At 38.2% G+C, this 25,659-nt stretch overlaps 2 long non-coding RNA genes across 2 annotated transcripts in view; one reads left to right on the top strand and one right to left on the bottom strand.

Moving 5' to 3' along the window:
• MSRB3-AS1 (MSRB3 antisense RNA 1) overlaps positions 1-25,659 on the bottom strand; it is a 175,556-nt gene that overhangs the window by 678 nt on the left and 149,219 nt on the right. The gene's annotated exons all lie outside the window — the stretch shown is intronic.
• Positions 6,966-20,753, top strand: LOC105369809 (uncharacterized). The gene is made up of 2 exons (XR_945036.3): positions 6,966-8,015; positions 20,510-20,753. It is a non-coding gene; the product is annotated as an uncharacterized LOC105369809 (long non-coding RNA).

Here is a 25,659-nt window from a genome sequence, read left to right on the forward strand (position 1 = left end):
AGAAGTGGGATGATGAAGACTTTTGTTCTTCAGCCAATTCTTTAAGTCATACTCCTGGTATCTTAAAATTCACAGGCCAGCAACTTTATGTAGTATACCTTAGAGCACTGCTTTTCATAGTGTAGTCCTCAGACACTGAGGTATCAGCATCACCTGGGAACTTGCCAGAAATACAAGTTAATCAAAAGTTCTGGGCTGGGGCCTTAGCAATCTGCATTTTAGAAAGCCCTCCATGTGATTCTTGTGCTTAACCACTGCCTTGGAACTTTTAGTGAGAAAACTTCAATTAGTATTAATTTTAAAAGCATTTATATCTGACCCTCGAAAACGACTTTTTTTTCATCAGTCCTTTTCTTTCTATAGGGGTGGGTGGATAGTTTTTCCAAAATGTCATGCCTTGTAGCGCTTCTCGTCCCTCACTGCCCATTTGTCTTGTCCAGGAGGACTAGTCTGTCCTCATTCACTAGCACCACTTTAATTCCTATTAGCATTTCTGGACTGAGCCTGGGCTGCCCAGTGGTGCTTCCCAGTGCCTTTCTAGACCACAGGATGTCCATGGCAGGGTTCATCACAGTAATTCCAAGAATTAGAGAGCAGACTTCAGTGTATAAATTTACATATCACCTTTCTCATCTCTTCTATTTTCTTATACTTCCTTTCAAAATTATCATCATTTTTTTTAACCATTTAAGATATTTCTTCAAAGGTGCCATGTACCCAAATCTTCAACTCTTTCTTTTTGTCAGAAAACTGCTGTTACCTAGATCTTAACAACAAAACGACTTTTGGAAGATACTGACATTCGAAAAAGGTTGAATTTAAAAACTGTGTTTGGGACAAGCTTACTAGCACCCCATACAGGTTTCAAACCAGAGCTCATGGTTCTTTACACAGCAGATTGAAATTTCACCATATTTTGATGATTTTTTACCTGAAAAAGCCCTCTGCCATAGAAGAATATTCTGGCAAGAATGCTTCCCATACACTTACTCCCAAGAGGTCAGTCTTGTGGGCCAGTCTAGGAGGAATTGGCCCAAAAATGACTGTAAGCTCTGAATGAGGCAGCTCTGACACCCCTTGCCCAAAACACCTGAAAGGCTGTCCTGTGGGTGTAAAGAGCTTTTATGGAACCATCATGAAATAAAACCATGGTGACCTGAAATTTGGTAGCCAAATCAGATTCCTAGCCCACATGAGATTTTCCTAATTTTTAGTTGATTACAAAACCATACCAACTTGTCAGATTATGAATGCCAGGGAGTTAGTTTCTTTCTTTCTTTCTCTATTTTTTTTTTTTTTTTTGGAGTCTCACTGCTCTGTTGCCCAGGCTGGAGTGCAGTGGCATGATCTCAGCTCACTGCAACCTCTGCTTCCCAGGTTGAAGCGATCCTCCCACCTCAGCCTCCTGAGTAGCTGGGATTACAGGTGGGCACCACCATACCTGGCTAATTTTTGTATTTTTAGTAGAGATGGGGTTTCACCATCTTGGCCAGGCTGGTCTTGAACCCCTGACCTTATGTGATCTATTCACCTCGCCCTCCCACAGTGCTAAGATTACAGGTGTGAGCCACCATGCCCAGCCAAGGAGCCTCATTCTTATTTCAAGGTTTTCAACGCTCCTCCCTGCAGTGTCTACCCTGCTATTCCCAGTAAGCATATACTCACTCACCCTTATTATCATGGAACCAGACAAATTTTCTGGAATAAGCAGAAGGGAAAGTCAGTCAGAAATTAATAAGTGCTTAGTTCAGCACAGCCCCGACATGGGCAAGGTATAGAAGCGTAAATAACTAGAAAGCAAAGTAAAAGAGGTTTTATGTATAAATACAGCCCAGGAGAGAGTCATAATTGTTAAGTTGCAGTTGCCTGAACTTTATTCCCATGGCCTTCAATCCCACCACAGGATTTCTTTTTACCTTAATGATACTGTGGATTGAATAACCTCTGTCAATAAGTCAGGCACTTGATCCATTATTTCTACTGTGAGGTAGGTAGTCTTATCCTCATTTTACAGATGATAGTGCTAACAGCTCAAAAAATTAAGACAAATTACATAGCTAGTCCATGGCCAAGCTAAAATTGAAATCCAAGTTCCTGTGACTTCAAACACTGAGCCCCTAGCTCCACTCTGGGCTGCCTCCCATGTAGGACACTGGCTACTTGGATAGTGTTCAGCTGTGGTGGGTTTGAACCTGGGGGAAAAATGTATATAGCATTTCTTATTTGTTTCAAGTTAACTGCAATTCACACTTCCGAAACACATTCTGCATTGTGACTGTGTTATTTCAGAGAGGCCTAATTAAGCCTTCGTACGTCTTGATTTTCTTACACTTTGGTGACAGAAAGTTTCATATTTTTCTTCAAAGGGCTAACTTTAACACTCCTAATAATTCTTTTTTTTTTAATTAAAACAATTTTTTTACTTCAATAGCTTTTGGGGTACCAGTGGTTTTTGCTAACACGGATGAATTCTATGGTGGCAAATTCTCAGATTTTAGTGCATCCATCACCCAAGTAACACTCCTAAGAATTTTAACTACCACAGCAAAAAAAGTCCTATTCTGGATTCATATAGAAAAAAGAAAGAATAGAGGTGATACTAAAGATGCATTTAACCAAAATATTCAGTTTCTGGCATAGCTGATCCAGCTCATCCTTTCTCATCCAAAAAGATATAAAGCCCAGGTGGTGGGGGTGGGGTGGCTTTACCAATGTCACTAAGTCAGAGTCTACCATGGGAGGGTGAAGAAGGAGGACAGGTTCGTGAGGGCTCTCACCACACTCAGAGCATGTCTGCAGGACACATGATGGACCTATCCCAGGAACTGATGGAATAAAGAGGTTTGTTTCTGTTTGATTACAATTCATGACAGATTGATAACTGCAGAGGCATTCAAACTTGGGGTTTTACCCCCCTTCTCTTTAACACCAGAGCTTATAAGGCTATTCAGGCATCTGGTGTTTGTTAGACGGCTGTGTTGCATCATCCTTATGATTGCTGGGGAACATCTCCTAGCATTCGAACGATTGGAGGAAAGACTATGGGGCACAAAATGGCCTCATCCGGTTTACATCTTTATTACTGGCTTCTCGCATACCTGCTTACATCTGGAAAAAATCTCCAGGTAAACCTCTTGGGCTCTTTCTCTAAAGAGTAACTGTAATTATTAGGGCTATACCCGAATTCAGCTTAGAATAGGTATGTCGCTGAACTTCAGCCAAAACCCTGTGCCTGTCTAAAAGAGATTTTCTTTTTTTACATCCAATTACATAGGAGGGGCCTTTTGCCCACACATGGCCAGTGGGGTTCCTGATTCTTTATGCCCAAGGCTTCTATTTATGCCCTTAGGGAAAAGACAGGGAAACTTTAGGGAAGAAACAGAGATCTCTTCAAATCTCCTCAGTGTTTTTTCCTCACTACCAAATCCCAGAATTCTAATATGGATTGCAGATCATGTCAAAATTTTACAAATGCTAAATCTTTACCCTGCTAGGTACTATCACAAACTTTACCTTACTAACCAACAGCATCAAAACAAAACAAAGAACAACAACAATAAAAATTACAAACAAAGCCAACTACCATCTCTGTTTCCAGCCTATCCCTCTAGTATATGGAGTTCATCCATTCAGCATGATTTATTGAGCACGTACTAGGGTACCAGGTACCATGCTTGGCACAGGAAACCCCAAACTGAATAAGACTCCCTGCGTCATGCAATTAGCTGGAAAAACAGACCTGCAGCTAATTATGCATAATACTGGCATGTTGCATAGGGTTATGCAGAAGTGTGAATAAAATGTAATGAAAACTCAACTGGGAGAAGGATGAATTATCCTCCCCTAGAAAAGGGATGAAGCAGGGAGAGTGGCAGTCAAGGAACTTCACTTAGAGATGAAAGTGCAGCTGGGTCTTGAAAACTACGTAGTCTTTCACATAGGAGAGACGAAAACAAGGTGGTTCAGAGAAACAATTGGGGTGTGATCTGTAACTTTTTCAAACACATTTCTGATTATTTTGATAAGTAGTTGTTGTCTAAGATCATCTCATAAGATGCTTTTTTCCATTTGCTTCCCCCCTCTCCTTTTAAGACATATATATATATATATGTGTCTTAAAACATGTATGTATATATATCCAGGCACACTTCATCTTACTGTGCTTCACTTTATTGTGATCCACATATAGTGCATTTTTTACAAATTAAAGGTTTACGGCCACCCTGCATTAAGCAAGTTTTTGGTGCCATTTTTCCAGCAGCATGTGCTCACTTCATGTCTCTGTGTCACATTTTGGTGATTCTTGCTATATTTCAAACTTTTTAGTGTTTATTATTACATCTGTTATGGCAATCTGTGATTTAGTAATCTTTGATCTTACTCTCATAATTGTTTTGGGGCACCACCAACTGAGTCTATATAAATGGCAAACTTAATAAATGTTGTATGTTTTCTGACTGCTCCAATAACAAGTCATTTCTCTGTCCCTCTCCCTCTCCTTGTGCCTCCCTATTTCTTGAGACACAACAATATTGAAATTAGGCCAATGAATAACCCTACAATGCCCTCTAGGTGTCCAAGTGAAAGGAAGAGTCACATGTCTCTCACTTTAAATCAAAAGCTAGAAATGATTAAGTTTAGTGAGGAAGGCAGGTCGAAAGCCAAGACAGGCTTAAAGCTAGTTCACTTGCACCAAACAGTTAACCAAGTTGTGAATGCAAAGAAAAAGTTCTTGTAGGAAATTAAAAGTGCTACTCCAGGGAATGCATGAATGATAAGAAAGCAAAACAGCTTTATTGCTGATACAGAGAAAGTTTGAGTCATCTAGATAGAAGATCAAACCAGCCACAACATTTCTTTAAGCCAAAGCCTAATCCAGAGCAAGACCCTGACTCTCTTCAATTATATTAAGGCTGAAAGAGGTGAAGAAGCCACAAAAGAAAAGTTCGAAGCTAGCAAAGGGTAGTTCATAAGGTTTGAGTGCCAGGTGTAATATAATAGTGCTATAATGTAAAAATGCAAGGTGAAGCTGCAAGTGCTGATGGGGAAGCTGCAAGTTATCCAGATGATCCAGCCAAGGGAATTAATGAAAGTGGCTACACCAAAAAAGACTTTCAGTGTAAATGAAACAGCCTTCTATTGGAAGATGATGCTACCTAGGATTTTCATCACTAGAGAGGAGAAGTGAATGCCTGGCTTCAAAGCTTCAAAGGACAGGCTGACTTTCTTGTTAGGGTCTACTGTAGCCGGTGGCTTTAAGTTGAAGCCAGTGCTTATTTATCATTCTGAAAATCCTAGGACCCTGAAGAATTATGCTGAAACTACTCTGCCTGTTTTCCATAAATGAAACAACAAAGCCTGGATAACAGCATATCTCTTTACATCATGGTTTACAGAGTATTTTAAGCCTGCAGTTGAAATCTACTACTCAGAAAAATGATCCTTTCAAAATAGTTCTGCTTACTGACAATGTACCTGGTTACCCAAGAGCTCTGATGGAGATATACAAGGAGATGAATGTTGTTTTCATGCCTACTAATACAACATCCACTCTGAAGCCCGTGGATCAAAGAGTAATTTTTTAAGTCTTTTTATTTAAGAAATACATTTTGTAGGGCTATAGCTGACATAGACGGTGAGTCCTCTGGTGGATCTGGGCAAAGTAAATTGAAAACCTTCTGGAAAGGATTCACCATTTGAGATGCCATTAAGAATATTCATGACTCATGAGAGAAAGTTAAAATGTCAACATTAACAAGAATTTGAAAGAAGTTCATTTCAACCTTCATGGATGATTTTAAGGGGTTCAAGACTTTAGTGGAGGAAGTAACTGCAGATTACGGTGGTGGTGGAAATAGCAAGAGAACTAGAATTAGAAGTGAAGTCTGAAGATGTGACTGAATTGCTACAATCTCATGATAAAGCTTGAACAGAGGAGGAGTTGCTTCTTACAAATGACAAAGAAAGTGATTTTTTGTTGTTGTTGTTTGTTTGTTTGTTTTTTGAGACAGGCTCTTGCTATGTTGCCTAGGTTGGTCTCAAACTTCTGGGCTCAAGCTACCCTCCCATCTTGCCTCCCAAAGGGCTGGGATTACAGGCCTGATCTACTGCATCCAGCGCGAAAAGTGGTTTCTTGAGATGGCATCTACTCCCAGGGATGAGGCTGTGAACATTATTGAAATTACAATATAGGATTTAGAACATTACATAAACTTTTACAAGGAATTACATAGATAGGAAAAAGAGCAAAAATTAAAAATACTAAAATGACACCAACAACAAAAGAATATTATATAAACTTAGTTGATAAAGCAGCAGTGGGATTTGAGAGTACTAACTCCAGTTTTGAAAGAAGTTGTACTATGAGTAAAATGCTATCAAACAGCATCGCATGCTACAGAGAAATTGTTCATGAAAGGAGGAGTCAATCAATGCAGCAAACTTCACCACTGTCTTATTTTCAGAAATTGCCATGGCTACTCCCACCTTTAGCTACGACCACCCCGGTCAGTCAGCAGCCATCAACATTGAGGTAAGATCCTCCATCAGCAAAAAAAATTATGACTCATTGAAGGCTCAGATGATCATTAGCATTTTTTAGCAATAAAGTATTTTTAAGTAAGGTTTGTACGATGTTTAGACATAATGCTATTGTAGGCTTACTAGACTACACAATAGTATAAAAATAACTTTTATATGTACTGGGAAGCCAAAAAATTTGTGTGACTTGCTTTACTGAAATATTTACTTCCTTGCCATGATCTGTAACTGAACACATAGCATATCTTCAAGGTATGCCTGTATGTATGTATGTGTGTGTATACATACATGTATGTGTATATATATATGTATGTGTGTTTGTCTATGGACACCTATACATATATACACACACATACATACATACATACATACAAGCATACCTTGTATGTATATATACAGAGAGAGACAACCAAAGGAAGAGGAGGAGGAGGAGGAACTTAGGGAGAGGCTTCCGTGCCATTTCTTCCATTTTTGCATCCCACATCTAAGAAGAAAGCAGACTCTGTAAGGTCCTTCGTACCTGCTTATACCTCTGTTCTACTCCCTCTTCTCAGGGCAGACTATCATGAGCTTATCTGGACCTCTGCAGCATTGCCAAACTGGCTTCCTGTCTCTGTGCTCTCTCCCCTCCTCCCAGCCGCCACAATGAAGCCAGTGACCTTTTGAAATTATAAATCTGGGCACCTGGCATCCACTGTAGGACGTGGTGCAGACAAACTGTAGTTGAGTCTACAGAGGCCCTTCACAGTCTGGCTACAACCTGTCTGTCCTGGCTCCTCTCTCACCACTTCTTCCTCACTGAAGACTCTTACTACGCACAGAAGGTGGCACATCCTTTTATATAATGCTTTCTGCCTGAAATGTCCTTTTGCCTTTTTTGATTCATAGGCTTCAAGGATCCCTCAAATCCAGACTCCAATAGCATCTCTTTCATGCCGTATATTGCCAATTTCCTTTCCTTCTCTGGCGTAAATGTACAGTCACGTGATGCACAATAACATTTCAGTCAATGACGGACCTCATATGTGACCATAGTCCCTTAAGATTATAATGGAGCTGAAAAATTCCCATTGCCTATTGATGTTGTAGTAGTTATAGCACAGCACGTTACTTTTCTATGTTTAGGTATGTTGTGATACAAAAATACCACTGTGTCACAATTGCCTGCAGTATTCAGTACAGTAACATGCTGAACAGGCTTGTAGCCTAGGAGCAATGAGTTATACTAAATAGCCTAGGTGTGCAGTAGGCTATACCATCTAGGTTTGTTGAGTATACTCTATCATGTTTGCACAACAACAAAATCACCTAACACATTTCTCAGAATGTATCATCATTAAGTGACTGTATTCCCACTCTCACTTGTTCAGGTCTTGATTCTAGAGTTCATCACTTCGAATAATTGTCTCCCTCACCAGATTTGGAGCTCCTGTTGAGGAAAAACACTTTGAATAAATCAATATCTGGAACAAAAGGTAATTAGAATCCATTCTAAGCAAAATAGCTGGTGAAATTCATTTTCACTTCTCTTTTCTCTCATTTTCTTTGCCTTATCCTATCCTTTCTTGTAATACCCCATGTAGATCTGTTCTCTGAGCAATGCGCAGAGAACTAGAAGCTTAATCTGCTAGAAAATAGCTACCACCTACCCCCAGCGTTTATTAAAGGCTAGACCCATACTAACATTCATGATCTCATTTAGTCTTCTGGGCAACACAGAAGTCACAGACCGGAGGTTTAATGCAAGCTTTCTTTGCCTGAATCTTCTTAAAAACATATGTTTAAAAATAGATTTAAAGGGTACAAGGGTAGTTTTGTTACTTGGATATATTGCATAGTGGCAAAGTCTGGGTTTTTAGTGTAAACGTCATCTATAGTGTCCATCGTGCCCCACAGGTAATTTCTCATCCCTCACCTGCCTCTCACCCTCCCACATGCCTGAGTCTGCAGCATCTATTACTCCATTCTCTATGTTCACGTGTACACATTGTTTAGCTCCCACTTATAAGTGAGAGCATGTGATATTTGACTTTCTGTTAGTACATCTTTTTGCCAATATTTAAAAACCAGGAGATCTCACATCAAAACCCCACTTTTTTGATTATTTGGAATACAGAGGGAATCTGGCAGTTCTGGGCAGCTTCCAGGTAGTGCCAAGTGGCAGCTGCACACTTGAGGTGAGGATGACATTTCCATTTTGCCACAAGCCTTGCCATTTCCCATGGGCTCCCATTTGCCTTTATATCTGCACAGTTTCATTGTTTCTTAAAATATGCAAATATTTTGTATCCCTGCTTCTACCAAAATGGAAAAATAAATATACAGTATGAAGGCCACAGGACTTTTTTTAAAAAAACCTACCTATCTCCTGTAGACATTTGGTTTGTAACCCCTGTGGTAGGTAATATTATTATCCCTATTTTGCTGATGAGGAAATAGAGGCACAAGGAAGCAAATAACTTCACCATAATTATGTATCTAGAAAGCATCCGGCAAAGACATTTGACTATAACGCCTATACTCTTAAATGGAGGTCTCCAAACTTTTTGGTCCTACACCTCTATATAAATAAAAAATGTTAGCATGTCCAGCTAATATGTACATTCACTTTTAAATTATGTATGTTCACCACTAAAGTAATATAGTATTCAATTCTAAAATACATGCAAAAGTGAACAATTTTAAAAGATGAGAAAAAAATTTTAAAACATGAATTTTAAAGTAATTTTAATGTTATTTAAGATGGCATAAAGATGTTTACCTTTACTAAAATAAAAAGATGTTAATAATATCTTTAATGACAGCAGTGTGATTTGAGTACATTATTATTTTTTAAAACCTGGGTTTAAGAATTTATGAAACAGTGTTTAAAGGTCTGAATCTAAATTCGATTTATCTTAATATTTGCTGAAGTGGCTGACATAACTGAAAACTGCATTCTACAACAATGTCCCACATGGAAAGGTGCATGACAGGCTTGCTTACAGATCATGATATTCATTTTTTAATCTCAAATGCTGGCGTACAATGGTGTATGTGGAATTTTGGCTAGCAGATCTTCATATTCTCAGATGTCAATAAGTATGACTGACAATTATTCAAAGGTATTTTTTAAATACTTGAAAAATTTTCAAATGCCATTGAACACCATTAAAACCAGGTTTTAAAATTCTGATCTCAAGTTTTTTGAGCATGAAGCTATGAAAGATTCTTTAAGGTAAGACGCAAACATAAGATTCTTTAAGGTAAGGCCCAAACATGAGATTCTTTAAGGTAAGACACAAACATCTTTTTCTTCAATAAAAAATCACACAATGGAAACAGTTCCAAACATTCATGTTCAAAATATTTTCTCCAGATCTGATTTTCTTTAAAAAAAAAAAAAGCAGCGGCAATTATTCATTGTTGAGATGGCATTTTTACCTGAAAGGAATGGATTGAATGTATTTTTCAAAGATAATTTTTAAATAGCACACTACTGGCAGATGCTTGTCATCACAGAAAATGTTGGAAAATTTGCAACTTTTAAACTTTTTAAATTTAAATTTTAAATTTTAACTTGGAACTCATTTTTATGATTGTTAGCCCTTTCATGAAATAGGCCCAGTAAGTATAAAATATTTTCTTGGAACTCTTAAAAAGAACTCATCTTGATGAATGATAACCCTTCCATGAAATAGCTGGCAAGTATAAAATATTTTCATAGCTATTATTTATCTCACTGCAAGGTATTATAAAGATTTGACTGTATTTCCATGACCTATATTTCTAAAATTAACCATACACAGTAGCACTTCTGGCCTCAATCCCTCAGCTGAGCATTTGTCTACAAATAAATAAAGCACTGGATGATTTTCACATGCAGCACCCTTTCCAGAACCTTCTCATGGAATCTGGAAAGAATGGATTCTGGAATCTTGTGGAATCTGGAATCTCATGGAACATTCTTTTCCCCAACACTCCAGCCAAGGCAGCCCCCTCACTGGTGGCCACACCTAACAGAGTTTGCCATAAAGCATTATGTTTATTAAATTGATTATTTCCATCTTTTCTTTATTGGCTCACACAAAAAAGTTATGCATTATTGAAACAAATGCAGCAAATACCATAAGCCAAGATGTGCTAGAAACATCTACTCTTAATGCAACTGTAAAGGAAATTTCTGCACTATATAATTTGTTGGAATACTTGCTTCTTCACATCTTCACCATGCTGTGTCTGCATCTTCCAATTGCATTTACTTTCAGTAAATACATTTTAGTTTGTGACCATTGTGAAAATTTATTATACAAAGTGGAGGCATTACTGTCACATCCAACTAAAATAGAGTCAAGAGGCCTTGAAAAAAACATGCAGGTTACAAGGGGACCACTTCAATTGAAACAACCTGTTGTGACTTCAAGACTAGTTTTTTTCTTTCTTTCTTTCTTTCTTTCTTTCTTTCTTTCTTTCTTTCTTTCTTTCTTTCTTTCTTTCTTTCTTTCTTCTTTCTTTCCTTCTTTCCTTCTTTCTTTCTTCTTTCTTTTTCTTCTTTTCTTTTTTTTTTTTCACAGGGTCTCTCTCTGTTGCCCAGGCTAAGTGCAGTGGCATGATCACTGCTCACTGCAGCCTTAACCTGCCAAGCTGAAGTGATCCTCTCACCTCAGCCTCACCTGTAGCTGGGACTTCAGGCGCGTGCCATCATTCCCAGCTAATTTTTTAATTCTTTAATTTTTTTTTTAAGAGACGGTGTCTCACTGTGCTGCCCAAGCTGGTCTTGAACTCCTGGCTTCAAGAGATTCTACTACCTCAGCCTCCCAAAGTGCTGGGATTACAGGCATGAGCCACCACACCAGACCAAAACTAGTTTTACTGTGGTAGTAACTGCCACCACTGGCCAACCAGAGCTCCCCAGCTCAGGCATAGCCACAAGTGTTAACAAACTTTCTTTCAAGACAATTTATGTAGTTTTTCTCTCTCCTTACAAAAGCTCAACCTTCTCCTTTGTTCTTTGGACCCACCAGGGGCCACCCCAGTCTGTTGAATGTGCCCTGACTTGCAATTCTATTCTTTGAATATTCACAGATAACACCTTTTGCTTGGGATTGCATCCATCCATTTTTATTTGATATTGCCACCGTCTTCTTTTCAGATTATGGTAGTTACTGTCCCTGGGGCAGGAAAAGCAGTTGCAGAGAGACCATCTTTTCTATGCCTGGGTGAATGGTCATATCCTTTCTACTTTTGGTCCACTTCCAACACTTTACCTTTCAATGTTGTGAAGTATCTCCAAGAGGTGCTCTAAGGAGACTTTTTATTTTCTTTTGCCAGTGTCACTTCTTCTGAGGCATTTTTATCCTTTTCATCACCTCCACTTTCCTCATTTATGTCAATAAGTTTGCCTTCACTACATTCTCTGGCTGCAAACCTAGAGTGTCTCAAAGGGTGGCAGTGTGGACATCCATGGTCCCCTGTTTCTTCTATAATGCCATTTATGTTGGATTCTATTTCATTTCCAGCATTATCACTTTTCATTTCTTTGCTGCATTTTCCTATTTGTTAATACCTTATGAGGTTGCTCACAGTTAATCTACTGTGGTAATTGAAATTTGAGCTGTGTTGCTAGTAGACTAGTATTATTTAATAAAGCTGTAACTAAAATTTGTGCATAATGGAATCATGCAAAGTGATGACTACCTATACTGGCAAAGCATATTTTATTTAATTTTTCTTATTTTAGATAAAAGTTGTTATAATTAGTTTTAAAGTTTTCCCTACCTCCCGATACAATGTCATGTGTATTTGTGCTATTCTGGGCTTCTAATATGAACTTATTGAGCTTAACAACAGAGGTGATCATAATATCTCCAAGATATAATTTGCATTTTAATAGTGCCCCTAAATACACAAGTACTGTGGGAATTTAGGCAGGGCCTGTTGGATAACATCCTTACTCCAACTACTGAGCCTTGGTTCCCATGTCACTCTCTCTTCATAGGTAAACAATGAAACTACTTCTTTCATTGATTCTCTAGTTAAGCTTTTCTACATCTTCTGACATTGTCTTAGTTGTTTGTATTGCTTTAACAAAATACTTGAGACTGGGTAAGTTATAAAGAACAGAAATTTATTTCTCACAGTTCTAGAAGCTGGAAGTACAAGATCAAGGCACCAGCAGTTCTCACTTGTGTTGAGGACCCAATCGTTGCTTCCAAGATGGTGCCTTGTTGCTGTGTCCTTTAGCTGGGTTGAATAGTGTGTTCTTATATAGTAGAAGAGCAGAAGGGCAAAAAGGGGCCTACCTAGTTCCCTCCAACCCTTTTATAAGGCACTAATCTTATCTATGAAGGTAGAGCCCTCATGACTTAATCACCCCCCTTAAGGCCCTAGCTCTTACCACTGTTGCCTTGGGGATTAAGTTTCAACATAACTTTTGGAGGGAATGCGAGCATTCAAATCATAGCAGATAGCTTTGTAAAATAACTTCTAAAACATTTTTCTACTTTCCCAAATATGTCAGAAAATATACTAGTTACATTTTATTCCAAGAAATACCCATCCTGAGGTCTCTCTCACACACACAAACACACACACACACACACACACACACTTCACAATTCTGTGCTCCAGTTTGTACTGGTTGCTTCCTAGATCCTCTGTATAGATGATGCCCTGGATCCTTGTTTTGCCATTGTCCTAAGCATTCTTTTCACCTTTCTCCTGTGCTGGGTCCTTTGTTACCAAATGCCTTCATTTATGCCTTCTTTTCAGTACAGTACATCCTGTCTGGTTTCCTATGAAAAGGCACATGCAGGGTTAAAAGTTTTGTAATTTGGTATGTTTGAAAATAAGTCTATCCTGCTCTCACACTTTATTAGTATTTCCACAGAGTATAGAGTTCCAAAATGGAAATCATTTTTCCCTTCAAATTTTGAGGCATTGCTCTACTGACTTGTATTTTCCAGGGTTACTGTTGAGATATCCACTGGAGAGTCTGATCCTTTGTAAGAGTTTGGAAAAGATGATATGACCAGTGAAGGCTTTTTCCCATTCATTTTGCCAAGCACTTGGTAGGATTTTCAATCAGAGATATGTGTCCTTCCATTCTGAGAAATGTTCTCATATTATGTTTTTGTCATTATCCTTTGTTTTCTCTGTTCTTTATTGTTGTAATTTCTATTAGTCAGATGTTATATTTCCAGGACTGATTTAATTTTTTAATTTTCATTGCATTTCCATCACATCATTCTTTTTATTTCCTTTCTAGGAAATTCTCGCTCATTATTTTACAACCATTTTACTTAAAATTTTTTACACCTATCATTCATATACATATGTAATATATATATATCTTTCATATATTCTCCCCTCATTTCCAAGAGCTGTTGTTCCCTCATTGCTCCATTTTTACATCCTTTTCTTATTAAGAAAATGATATTTTTGTTTGGCTCATGCCTGTAATCCCAGCACTTTGGGACGCTGAGGTAAATGGGTTACTTGAGGCCAGGAGTTCAAGACCAACTGATGAAACCCTGTCTCTACAAGACAGGGTTTGTAGATGGCCAACATGATGAAACCCTGTCTCTACAAGAAAATACAAAAATTAGCCAGGCATGGTAGCATGTGCCTGTAGTCCCAGCTACTCAGGAGGCTGAGGCAGGAGAATCGCTTGAACCCGGGAGGCGGAGGTTGCAGTGAGCCAAGATCACACCGATGCACTCCAGCCCGGGTGACAGAGCGAGACTCTGTCAAATAAAAAAAAAAAGAAAATGAATGTTATTTTCTCATTTTTCTAAGAAAATTCATGATAATTTAAAAATGTTTTATTTCTCCACTCTGCATTGTGTTTCTTTGAGTGCCTTTTCAATTTGCATAGGCCCACGTCTTCTATGAGGAGATGTTCCCCAAGATCCTACTGGTCCTTGGCTGTCCAGTTCCAGTAACAGGGAAACATCAAACTGTCAATTATGTCTGATGGAAGTTTGCTGACCCATGGGTTTCATGGTAGAAGCGGTCCTCCTTCCTCTCCTCCTTCCTCTTCTCTTTCTCTTCCTCCTCCTCTTTCTCTTCCTCCTCCTTTTTTTTTTCTTTTTTGTGTGACTCCACATGTTTGATTGTTTTTACTTTGACAGGAGTATAAACTGGTACAACTATTTTGGGAAACAGTTTGTTATTGTTTTCCTCTGTGGTGATGTAGTTTTTCTCCAATCTCTTGCTGTCCCTGAGTCTAGAGTTTCCCTGGTACAACTGCTCCTTTCACCTACATTGGTGAGGCTGGAGGTGGGCAAGTCACTCGATTACAGCAGGCAGGGAGGAGGACTCAGGAATCTCACTTTTCTTTATACAGGATTAGTATAATTTATAAGGTAATATTTAATACAAATAATGTAATACATACATAAGTTTTGGAGCATAATATTAAGATGAGCATTTTAACCCATCACCCAATTTAAGAATTAGAGCAATACTAATACTTATGAATTTTATGTATGGACTCTTCTCCTCTGCCTTCATTTTCCTGCTCCAACTGGTAACTCCAAGTCTGAATTTTGTATTTTTTGCCATCTTATTTTATTTTCTAAAAATAGTAAATTGTTGTATCACATATATAAGTAACCATAAACAATATATTATGTAGCTTTGTTTAATTTTGTGCTTTATAAAAATGGTATCATGCTGTGTTGTCTGTGACTTGTTATTTTTCACTAAATATTTTCTGTTTCATTTATCTTCTTGTTTCCAACCATATTTCATTCATTTTACTACTGTGTGCTATTTCTTTGTGTGGCTACTGTGCCACAATTTGCTTTTTAGAGATGGAGTCTCACTATGTTTGCCAGGTTGGTCTTGAATGCCTGGCCTCAAGCAATCCTTCTACCTTGGCCTTCCAAAATGCCAGCATTACAGGCATGAGCTACTGTGCCCCACCAACCACAATTTTTAAATTTATTTTTCTGTCAATGGACATTTGGATTGTTTCCATTTTTTCGTTGCAACATACAACCTTATATAAAACTTTCTTTTCTTTTACATATCTTCTAGTATAGGGGTCCCGACCTTCCAGGCCACAGACTGGTACTGGCCTTTATAAATTACCCAGTCTCAGGTATTTCTTTATAGCAGTGTGAAAATGGACTAATACAGCCTGGGAGGCCTCAGAAAAATTATAATCATAGCAGAAGGTGAAGAGGAAGCAGGCACAACCTTTACATGGTGGAGCAGGAGACAGAGAGTGAAGGGGAAGTGCTACACACTTTTGAACAACCAGATCTCATGAGTATTCACTCACTATCATGAGAATAACAAGGGGGAAATCTGCCTCCACGATCCAATCACCTCCCAGCAGTCCCCTCCTCCAACATTGAAGATCATAATTCAACATGAGATTTGGGAAGGGACATATAGAGCCAAACCATATCATCGTGCTCCTGGCTTCTCCCAAATCTCATGTCCTTCTCACATCTCAAAACACAATCATGCCTTCCCAAAATCTTAACTCATTCCAGAATTAACTCAAAAGTCCAAGTCCAAAGTCTCATCTGAGACAAGGCAAGTCCCTTCTGTCTCTGAGCCTGTAAAATCAAAAACAAGTTAGTTACTTCCAAAATACAATGGGGGTACAAGCATTGGGTAAATGCTCTCATTCTAAAAGGGGTGAATTGGCCAAAACAAAGGGGCTAATGGCCCTATGCAAGTCTAAAACCCAGTGGGGCAGTCATTAAATCTTAATGCTCCAAAATAATCTCCTTTGACTCAGTGTCTCACATTCAGGAGACACTGATGCAAAGGTGGGCTCCCAAGGCCTTGGGCAGCTCTGCCCCTGTGGCTGTACAGGTTACAGCCCTCACAGCTGCTTTCACAGGCTGGCATTGAGTGCCTGTGACTTTTCCAGGTGCATGGTGCAAGCTGTCAGTGGATCTACCATTCTGGGGTCTCAGGATGGTGGCTCTCTTCTCACAGACCCACTAGACAGTGGCCCAATGGAGATTCTGCATTGGGGTTTCAACCCCACATTTCCCCTCTGCAGTGCCCTAGTAGAGGTTTTCCATGAGGGCTCCAACCCTGCAGCAGACTTCTGCTTGGACATCCAGATGTTTCCATACATCCTCTGAAATCTAGGTGGAGGCTCCCAAGCCTCAACTCTTGCCTTCTGCACATTCACAGACCCAACACCATGTGGAAGCCACCAAGGCTTGGGGCTTGCACCCTCTGAAGCAACAACCTGAGCTATACTTTGGCCCCTTTTAACTACAGCTGGAGCTGTAGCAGCTGGGACAAAGGGCACCATGTCCCAAGGCTGCATAGAACATCAGGGTCCTGCACCTGGCCCAGGAAACCATTTTTCCCTCCTGGGCCTCCAGGCCTGTGATGGGAGGGGCTGCCGTGAAGATCTTGGAAATACCGCAGAGGCGTTTCCTCCATTGTCTTGGCTAATAACATTCAGCTCTTCTTTACTTATGCAAATTTCTGCAGCCTTGAATTCCTCCCCAGAAAATGGGTTTTCCTTTTCCATTGCATGGTTGGGCTGCAAATTTTCCAAACTTCTATGCTCTGTTTACCTTTTAAATACAAGTTCTAGGCCAGGCGCGGTGGCTAACGCCTGTAATCCCAGCAGTTTGGGAGGCCGAGGCGGGTGGATCACGAGGTCAGGAGATCGAGACCTTCCTGGTTAACACGGTGAAACCTCGTCTCTACTAAAAATACAAAAACTTAGCCAGGCGCAGTGGCAGGTGCCTGTAATCCCAGCTACTCAGGAGGCTGAGGCAGGAGAATGGCATGAACACAGGAGGCAGAGCTTGCAGTGAGCCAAGATCATGCCATTGCACTCTGGCCTAGGCAAAAAGTAAGACTCTGTCTCAAAAAAAAAAAAAAAATACAAGTTCTAGTTTCAGGTCATTTTTAATTTTTTGCTTATGCAAATGAGCATAGGCTTTTAGAAGCAGCCAGGCCCATCGTGACCACTTTTCTGCTTAGAAATTTCTCCCACCGGATACCATAAATAATCTCTCTCAAGTTCAAAGTTCCAGGGATCTCTAGAGCAGGGGCACAATGCCACCAGTTTCTTTGCTAAAGCATAACCAAAAGTGACCTTTACTTTAGTTCCCAATAAGTTCCTCATCTCCATCTGAGACCACCTCAGCCTGGACTTCATTGTCCATATCACTATCAGCATTTTGGCCAAAACCATTCAATAAGTGTCTAAGAATTTCTCAACTTTCTCACATCTTCCTGTCTTCTTCTAAGCCCTCCAAACCATTCTAACTTCTACCTACTACCCAGTTGCAAAGCTGCTTCCACATTTTCAGGTATCTTTATAGCAATACCCCACCTCTGGTACCAATTTTCTGTATTAGTCCATTCTCACAATGTTATAAAGAACTACTTGAGACTGGGTAATTTATGAAGAAAAGAGGTTTAATTGACTCACAGTTCTGCAGGCTGTACAGGAGGCATGCCTGGGAGATCTCAGGGAACTTATAATCATGGCAGAGGGTGAAGGGGAAGCAGGCACATCTTCACATGGCAGAGTAGGAGAGAGAGAGAGAGTGAAGGGGGGAAGCACTACACTTTTAAACAACCAGACCTCATGAGAACTCACTCACTATCATGCAACAGCAAGGGGGATATCCACCCCCATATTCCAATCACCTCCCAGCAGGCCCCTCCTCCAACACTGAAGATCATAATTCAATGTGAGATTTTGGTGGGGACACAGAGCCAAATGATATCGGGTGGCATGGACATTTTAACAATATTAATTCTTCCAACCCATGAACATGGATAGAGGTTGGCATATTTTTTTTTCAACATACCTTTTACATTGAATCTTGCCATTAGTTTATATTTTAGTAAGTCTCTTTTAAATAGTAGGTAGGGGGACTGTTCTTTTTTTAAATCAATTTTCAGAATCTCTTTTGAGTTAATATATGTATAAATATTAGGACTATTGGTATATTTAAATTCATTTAAACTATCTTACTTTGTGCTTTATATTTTTCTGCTTTTGCTATGCTTTTGGAAAAATCGATTTTCTTTGCTTTTTCACTTATTGTGTCCTACTAGTTAGAAAGCCATAACCTCTCTTTTTAAAATGTTGCCATTGGAATTTATTACGTGTAATGAACTTAACAATATCTGGGTTTTTCAATATCTGGAGCAACTCAACAAACTTAGTGTACTTTAGCATTGAGCATCCTCCTCCCAACTTGGATATTTTTGTAATACACTTTTAGTTCCGTTATTTTTCCCCCTCACAAAATAAACACTATTATACTAACTACACATAAAGATAATGACAACTTGCCTACATGTTTGCTAATTTCTTTGCTCACAATTCTCTCCTGTTTCTTCAGTCTTTCTTTTGAGATCATTTTCTTACTCCTGAAGTTCATTCATTCTTTAGAAGTTTCTTTGGTCAATGTCTTTTGAAGGTAAATCCTCTGTTTGTTTGTTTATCTGAAAAAGATGTTCCTTTTGCCTTCTGCCATGACTGTGAGACCTTCCCAGCTGTGTGGAACTGTGAGTCCATTAAACCTCTTTTTCTTTATAAATTACCCATTCTCAGGTATGTCTTTATCAGCAGCATGAAAATGGACTAATACAGGCCACCAGACTAATACAGCATGAAAATGGACTAATACAGTCACCAAAGAGGACTTTCAACTTTAGGAAAGTGGAGAGGGACCCCTCTCCCCTGCCCACTGCCACAAACACACTCAATGGCAAACACTGCAACAGAGGATGTGGGAAGGTTTGTAGGGAGGGCTTTGTGTGTTTTCACATGGCATAGAGAGCCAAATGGAGAAATGAAAGAAAAGTCACTTATAATTCAACACCAAAACCAACAGCACAAGAAGCAAAGGTGTCCTTTTCTCAGTTAGAATCTTAAAATTAGGTCCTTGAACTTCCCCATGCTGCTGGTGGGAGTGTAAATTGGTAGCCACTTTGGAAAACTGTTCAGCAGTATATGTAGTAGTTGAATACATGCATACCCTATAACTCAACTACACTGTTAGGTGTGTACCCCAAGCACGTTCACCAAAAGATATATACTAAAATGTTTCTAGTCACAAGAGAGGAATGAGATATAGGGATATATATGTTTCAGTGTGTGAATATCTCTCTATTATGTATCTCTATATTATATATTATTATATATAAATATAATAGAGAGATATTCATACACTGAAATACTATATAACACTGAGCATGAAAAAACTACAACTGTACGCAACAACATGGATAAACCTCAGAAACATAATATTCAGAGAAACAGGCCAAGCACAAAAGAGTGCATACTATACAATTCCCTTATATAAGGTTCAAAAATAGGCTAATCTTTGAGATAGAAATCAGATCAGAGGTTAGCTTTGACATGGGCTGTTGCAGTGGTCGGTGACTAGGTAGGAGGGGTCACAAGGGGAGCTTGTGTAAGTGCTGAAAATGTTCTATTTTTTTATTAGATGCTGGTTGCATGGGTGTTGCTATGGTTTAAATGTTGCCCCAAAAGTGTTCATTAGAAATGTCACCCACAATGCAATAGTGTTGGAAGGTGTGTCCAAATGAAAAGTGATTTAGGACATGAGGGCTCCACCCTCATGAATGAATTAATCCTGTTGTTTAGGGCATGTTTTGTTATTAAAAGGAGTGGCTCTGCACCATGGCTCATGCCTGTAATCCCAGCACTTTGGGAGGCCAAGGTGGGTGGATTGCTTGAGCTCTGGGCAACATAAAAAAACCCCATCTCTACAAAAAAATACAAAAATTATCTGGGCATCATGGCATGCACCTGTAGTCCCAGATACTTGGGAGGCTGAGGCAGAAGGAGCCCTTGAGCCAGGGGCAGAGGTTGCAGTGATTCATCATTGCATCATTTCACTCTAACCTGGGCAACAGAGTGAGACTGTGCCTCAAATTAAAAAAAAAAAAGTGAGTTAAATCCCTTTCTCTCTCCCTACCCTCTTTGTCATTGCATGTTTGGATGGTGTAGCAAGAAGGACCTCACCAGATGCTGCCCCTCAATCTTGGATTTCCTGGCCTCCAGAACTGTGAGCCAATAAATTTCTATTCATTCTGAATTAACCAGTCTGTGGTATTCTCTTATAGCAGCACAAAATGAACTGAGACAGGTGTGCTCACTCAGTGAAAATGTTTTGAACTGCATGCTTATGCTTATGAATTGTTAACTTCTCTGCGTGCATGTTACATTTCAATAAAAAAAGTTTACTCAGAAACATAGATGTTCCTCCCATAATTTCTAGAGAGATTTTCTCCAAATACAAAATGAGGTTCTGAAATCAGCAAATTCTTATTTAGCTCCATGAGTTCCAAGCCACTCCCCACCACTCCCACCCCAGATCCCATGCTGTATGTCCTCAGTGTTTCCAATAAATGTGTATGTACAGGCATGCGCATACCGTGCACACATACATAAACACATGCACACATTTCTCCTTGCTTTCTCTTCCAAATGTGAGCTTTGCTATACATTGCTGGTGCATACAGCACTCTGCTTGGCACTTAGTACGTATTACTTCATTTAGTCCTGAACACTATCCTCTAAGGCAGTCATAAATTTCTCTATTTTATGAAATCTGAGGTCCAGAAAGATGAGATAACTTGCTGCAAATCACAGAGCTAATGAGGTCTCATTGACTTTACAGCCCCTTGCTTTTCCGCCACTAAAACTTCCTTCTTATTAAGCAAGAAGATAGCAACTCAAAAGCTAGTAATGTTAAGACAAAAATTATATAGTTAGTTTATCTGTCTCCATTTACAGATGGGAAAACAGAAGAAAAAGTGACTGGCCCAAGGTTCCATGCTGGGTGGTCATAATTTCATGTATTAACTATTCACTGCAAGAATTATGTAGGGAAAAATATATAGGTAAAAACAAAGTCTAAAGAACTATAAAAGAATAGATAGAGCATATGCAATTTTACAATCCAACCTAAATTTCCTTTGTTTTGCCTTGAGGTTGAACCACAACTGATACCTTCCTTATACCCAGGCAAGATGATCCTGCTCTGGGTTTTGGAAGCCCCAACATATCACAAATAACTGTGCACTTTGGTCTCTTGGAATCTGATGCTGAGTATTTGACAATACAACCTGCCACCCCAAACAAATTCTGTTCTCATGATCTGTTCAGGACCCAGGAAATGGATTCTCTATATTTTTTTCCCTTTGTTGTGAACAATGATTGATGGTTCAAATGCTGTGAAGGTCTGTGTTTCCTTCTACTTCTGAGATTGAAGGTGACACTGCATCTGAATGAAGGAAGGAGTGAGGCAGTGGCACCCAGGTTAGGGAGAACACAATTTTCACTAACTTTTCAAATCCTTCTTTCTTGGCATGAGTGCAATAGATTATGCATTTATAATCTATTGATTACGACTAATGAAAAGTCATTTTCATAGCCCTGAGGGTCCATTTACTTGCCTCATTTTGTGTCCTAAAAGGTGGTTCCACAAGTGCTTATAAGTTTTTGTGTATTCACAACAGTTACACATGGTGGCTGAGGAATATTTTATGCCATTAAACAATGCATATTTCTGTTGAATTTGTATGTATTATGTCTTGACTTGAAATGCACAAAACAAAACTCTAATTATTTACATTGGCAATTAATTGACACTATATTAGCTAAAATTGGTTTTAGCTAATAAAACTAATAAAATTAATTTTACTTTTAGAAAAGTGTTGAATAAGGTTTAAGATTTTCAAAAAGTTACTCAACATCACCCACCCTCAGATAATTGCCAATCAAAACCACAATAAGAGATCACCTCACACCTCTCAGCATGGCCATGATCAAACAAGACAAAACAACAGATAACAAGTGTTGAAGAGGATGTGGAGAAATTGGAACGCTTGTGCGCTGTTGGTGGAATGTAAAATGATATAGCCCCTATGGAAAACACTATGGGGGTTTCTAAAAAAATTAAACTTAGAACTACCATATTGTCCAGCAATCCCTCTTCTGGGTATATATCTAAACTAATTGAAATAACTATCTGAACTCCCATGTTTATGCAGCATTATTCACAGTAGCAAAGACATAGAAGCAGCGTAAATCTCTATCAGTGAATGAATGGATAAACAAAGTGTGGTATATACATACAATAGAATATCATTCAAAGGGAAATCCTGCCATGTGCAACAACATGCATGAACTGGAGGGCATTATGCTAAGTAAAATAAGCCAGTCACAAAAGGACAAATACTGCATGATCCCACTTATATGAGGTATCTAAAACAATCAAGTTCATAGAAGCAGACAATAGAATGGTGATTGCCAGGGGTAGGGAGTGGAGGTGGGGAATGGGGAGTTGTTTAATGGGTATAAAGTTTCCTTTATACAAGATAAATGAGTTCTAAAGATCTGCTGTAAGCATAGTGCCCACAGTTAACAATACTGTACTGTGTTCTTAAAATATGTTAAGAATGTAGACCTCACATGAAGTGTTCTTACCACAAAAACAAAAAACAAGCAAAATAAAAAATGAATAAAAGGGCACAAGGAAACTTTTAAAGGTGATGAATATGTTTATTGCCTTGATTATGGTGATGATTTCCTGGGCATGTGCATATGTCTGAGCTCATCCAACTGTATATATTACATATGTGCAGTTTTGTATATCATTTATATCTCAATAAAGTGGGTTGTTTTTTAATTTTTGTTTTTTTTAGAGATGGAATCTCACTATGTTACCCAGGCTGGAGTGCAGTGGCTGTATACAAGCACAATCATAATGTACTGCAGCCCTCAACTCCTGGGCTTATGTGATCCTCCTGACTCAGTCTCAGTCTCGCAAGTAGCTGGGATTACAGGTGTGTGCCACTGCACCTGGCTTAAGAAAATTGCTTTTAAAAAGATTTTCAAAAAGTTAGATAAAAACTCAGCTTTTCTCAAATAAGTATGATTTAAAACTTTATTATCAATTATAATTTATATTTTGCTTTTTAAATTTAAGAGATAATATTGGATGTCAATGGTGACTTTTGAATTTATAAATTAAAGATAATTTGAATTATATTTAACATTTACTTTAATATACATTTTGATGAAAAAGTCCAAATTTTCTAGATGTTGAACATGATTTTACTTATATTTTAATCCTTCATATCATTACTATCAATTGAACACAGATTTTACTTAAAGGTAAAGACCATCAATTTTATGAAATTCATACATAATAAATTATGAATTATGTATGTTTTCATTTTATTATGCACCTTAAAATCATTGGCCACCAATAGAATACCCATACCTGACCAATAACAAAAAAATTTACTCTTTTGCTATTGTACTGACTTTTCATCATAAAAAAATATATTTACCCATATTTTAAAATTTTGTTCTTATGAAGCAATATTTGTCAAATGTTATGGAAATAAATTTGTGAAACAGAAAATTATTTTATGTAAGAGTCTGTGAGCTTGATTTAAAACTTTAAAATATTTATTTATAAGGTATAAGTGCCTCTATCTTTCTTCAGGGCTGCAAAAAGTTAGTGGCAGGTCTGACCACAGCTCTCTTTCACTTAGGGTCCATGCAACCAATGAAGAGCTTTGGGTCTTACCAGATGTCTTATCTTTTGCCACTGTGGCATTGAATGGCTGTCTGGCAGGTATCAAATCAATGTTCCTTCAATTATCCTTGAATTGTAAATTACTACTCATTTTTTTCTCTCTAAATCATGGGTCTTTCTTTGTAAGAGGATGTTTTAGTGGCAACAGGAAAAACTTCACAATAGAAGAAAATGGATTAAAATGAAGTGCTTTGTGTGGGTACATACCCAAAGGAATTGAAATCAATATGTTGAAGAGATATCTCCACTTCCATGTTCATTTCAACATTATTCAAAATAGCCAAGATATGGAAGCAACCCGAGTGTTCATTAATGGATGAATAAAAGAAGAAAATGTGGAATATATACACAATGGAATATTATACAACCTTTAAAAAGAAGGAAATCCTGCCATTTACAACATGGATGAAACTGGAGGGCATTATGCTAAATGAAGTAATCTCTGCACAGAAAGACAAATACTGTATGCTTTCACTTATATGTAGAATTTAAAAGAGTTGATCTCACAGAGACAGACTGTAGAATGGTGGTTCATAGAGGCTCTGGGTTGAGGAGGTATGGGAAAAGGGGAGAGGCTGGTCAGAGGGTACAAAGTTTCAGATAGACAGGAAGAATAAGTTTTAGAGAGATCTACTGTACAGCATGGTGACCATGTTTATAATAATTATATATTTCAAAATCGGTAATAGATGTTAAATGTTCTCACCACAAGAAAATGATAAAGTGTCATGGTGATAGATATGTTCAATAGTTTTGATTTAATCTTTCTATAATTTTATATATATCAAAACATCACATTATACCCCATAAATATATACAATTATAATTTGTCAATTTAATTAATTAATTAATTTTAAAAAGGTGTTTTGTGGTTTTATTATTAATCTGTTTGAATCCTTGTTTTCTCCTTCCTCATCACCCCTTTTCTTCTGTTGCCCCTCCCTTTTCTCTTTTTCTTCTTATTCTGTTTCCTCTTCCTCCTCCAGCCTTTTAGTGAGGAAAGACTCTCTTGATAGCTGTGTTACTTCTCTTCATCAATGCCTACATTTCTCAAAGCTGAAGTGTCCAATGTTTTTTGAATCTGACTTTCTGCCAGAATTCTTTGAATAGATCAACTCCCTTTATGCTTTAACATTTTAAAATTGGTCGGTGCAAGAGAGAATTGGAGGATCTTAAGTATAGCGGTTTTCTTACAATCAACAAAGAATGTTATTCCAATTGACAGTATTTTAAGTCCAGTCATGATGGCAGTTCTCACTTTCACTTAAATATTATAGGGACATACTAGGCTTAATATCAGGGTGATGAAATAATCTGTACAACAAACCCCCATAAGTAAGTAAGGAAACAAGTTTAGTTATGTAACAAACCTGCACTTGTACCCCAAACTTAAAATAAAAGTTAAATAAATAAATAAATATCATAGGAATAAGTAAAGAATCTGAAGTACTATTATTGCCATTTTGCCATTTCTACTGGATTTCTAGATAAGAGTCTTATCTCAATATTTTGCCCTTCATTAATTTTCTATCTACTTGGCTTGTTC

Source organism: Homo sapiens, chromosome 12, assembly GCF_000001405.40.
Source record: "Homo sapiens chromosome 12, GRCh38.p14 Primary Assembly".
Lineage (NCBI taxonomy): Eukaryota > Metazoa > Chordata > Mammalia > Primates > Hominidae > Homo > Homo sapiens.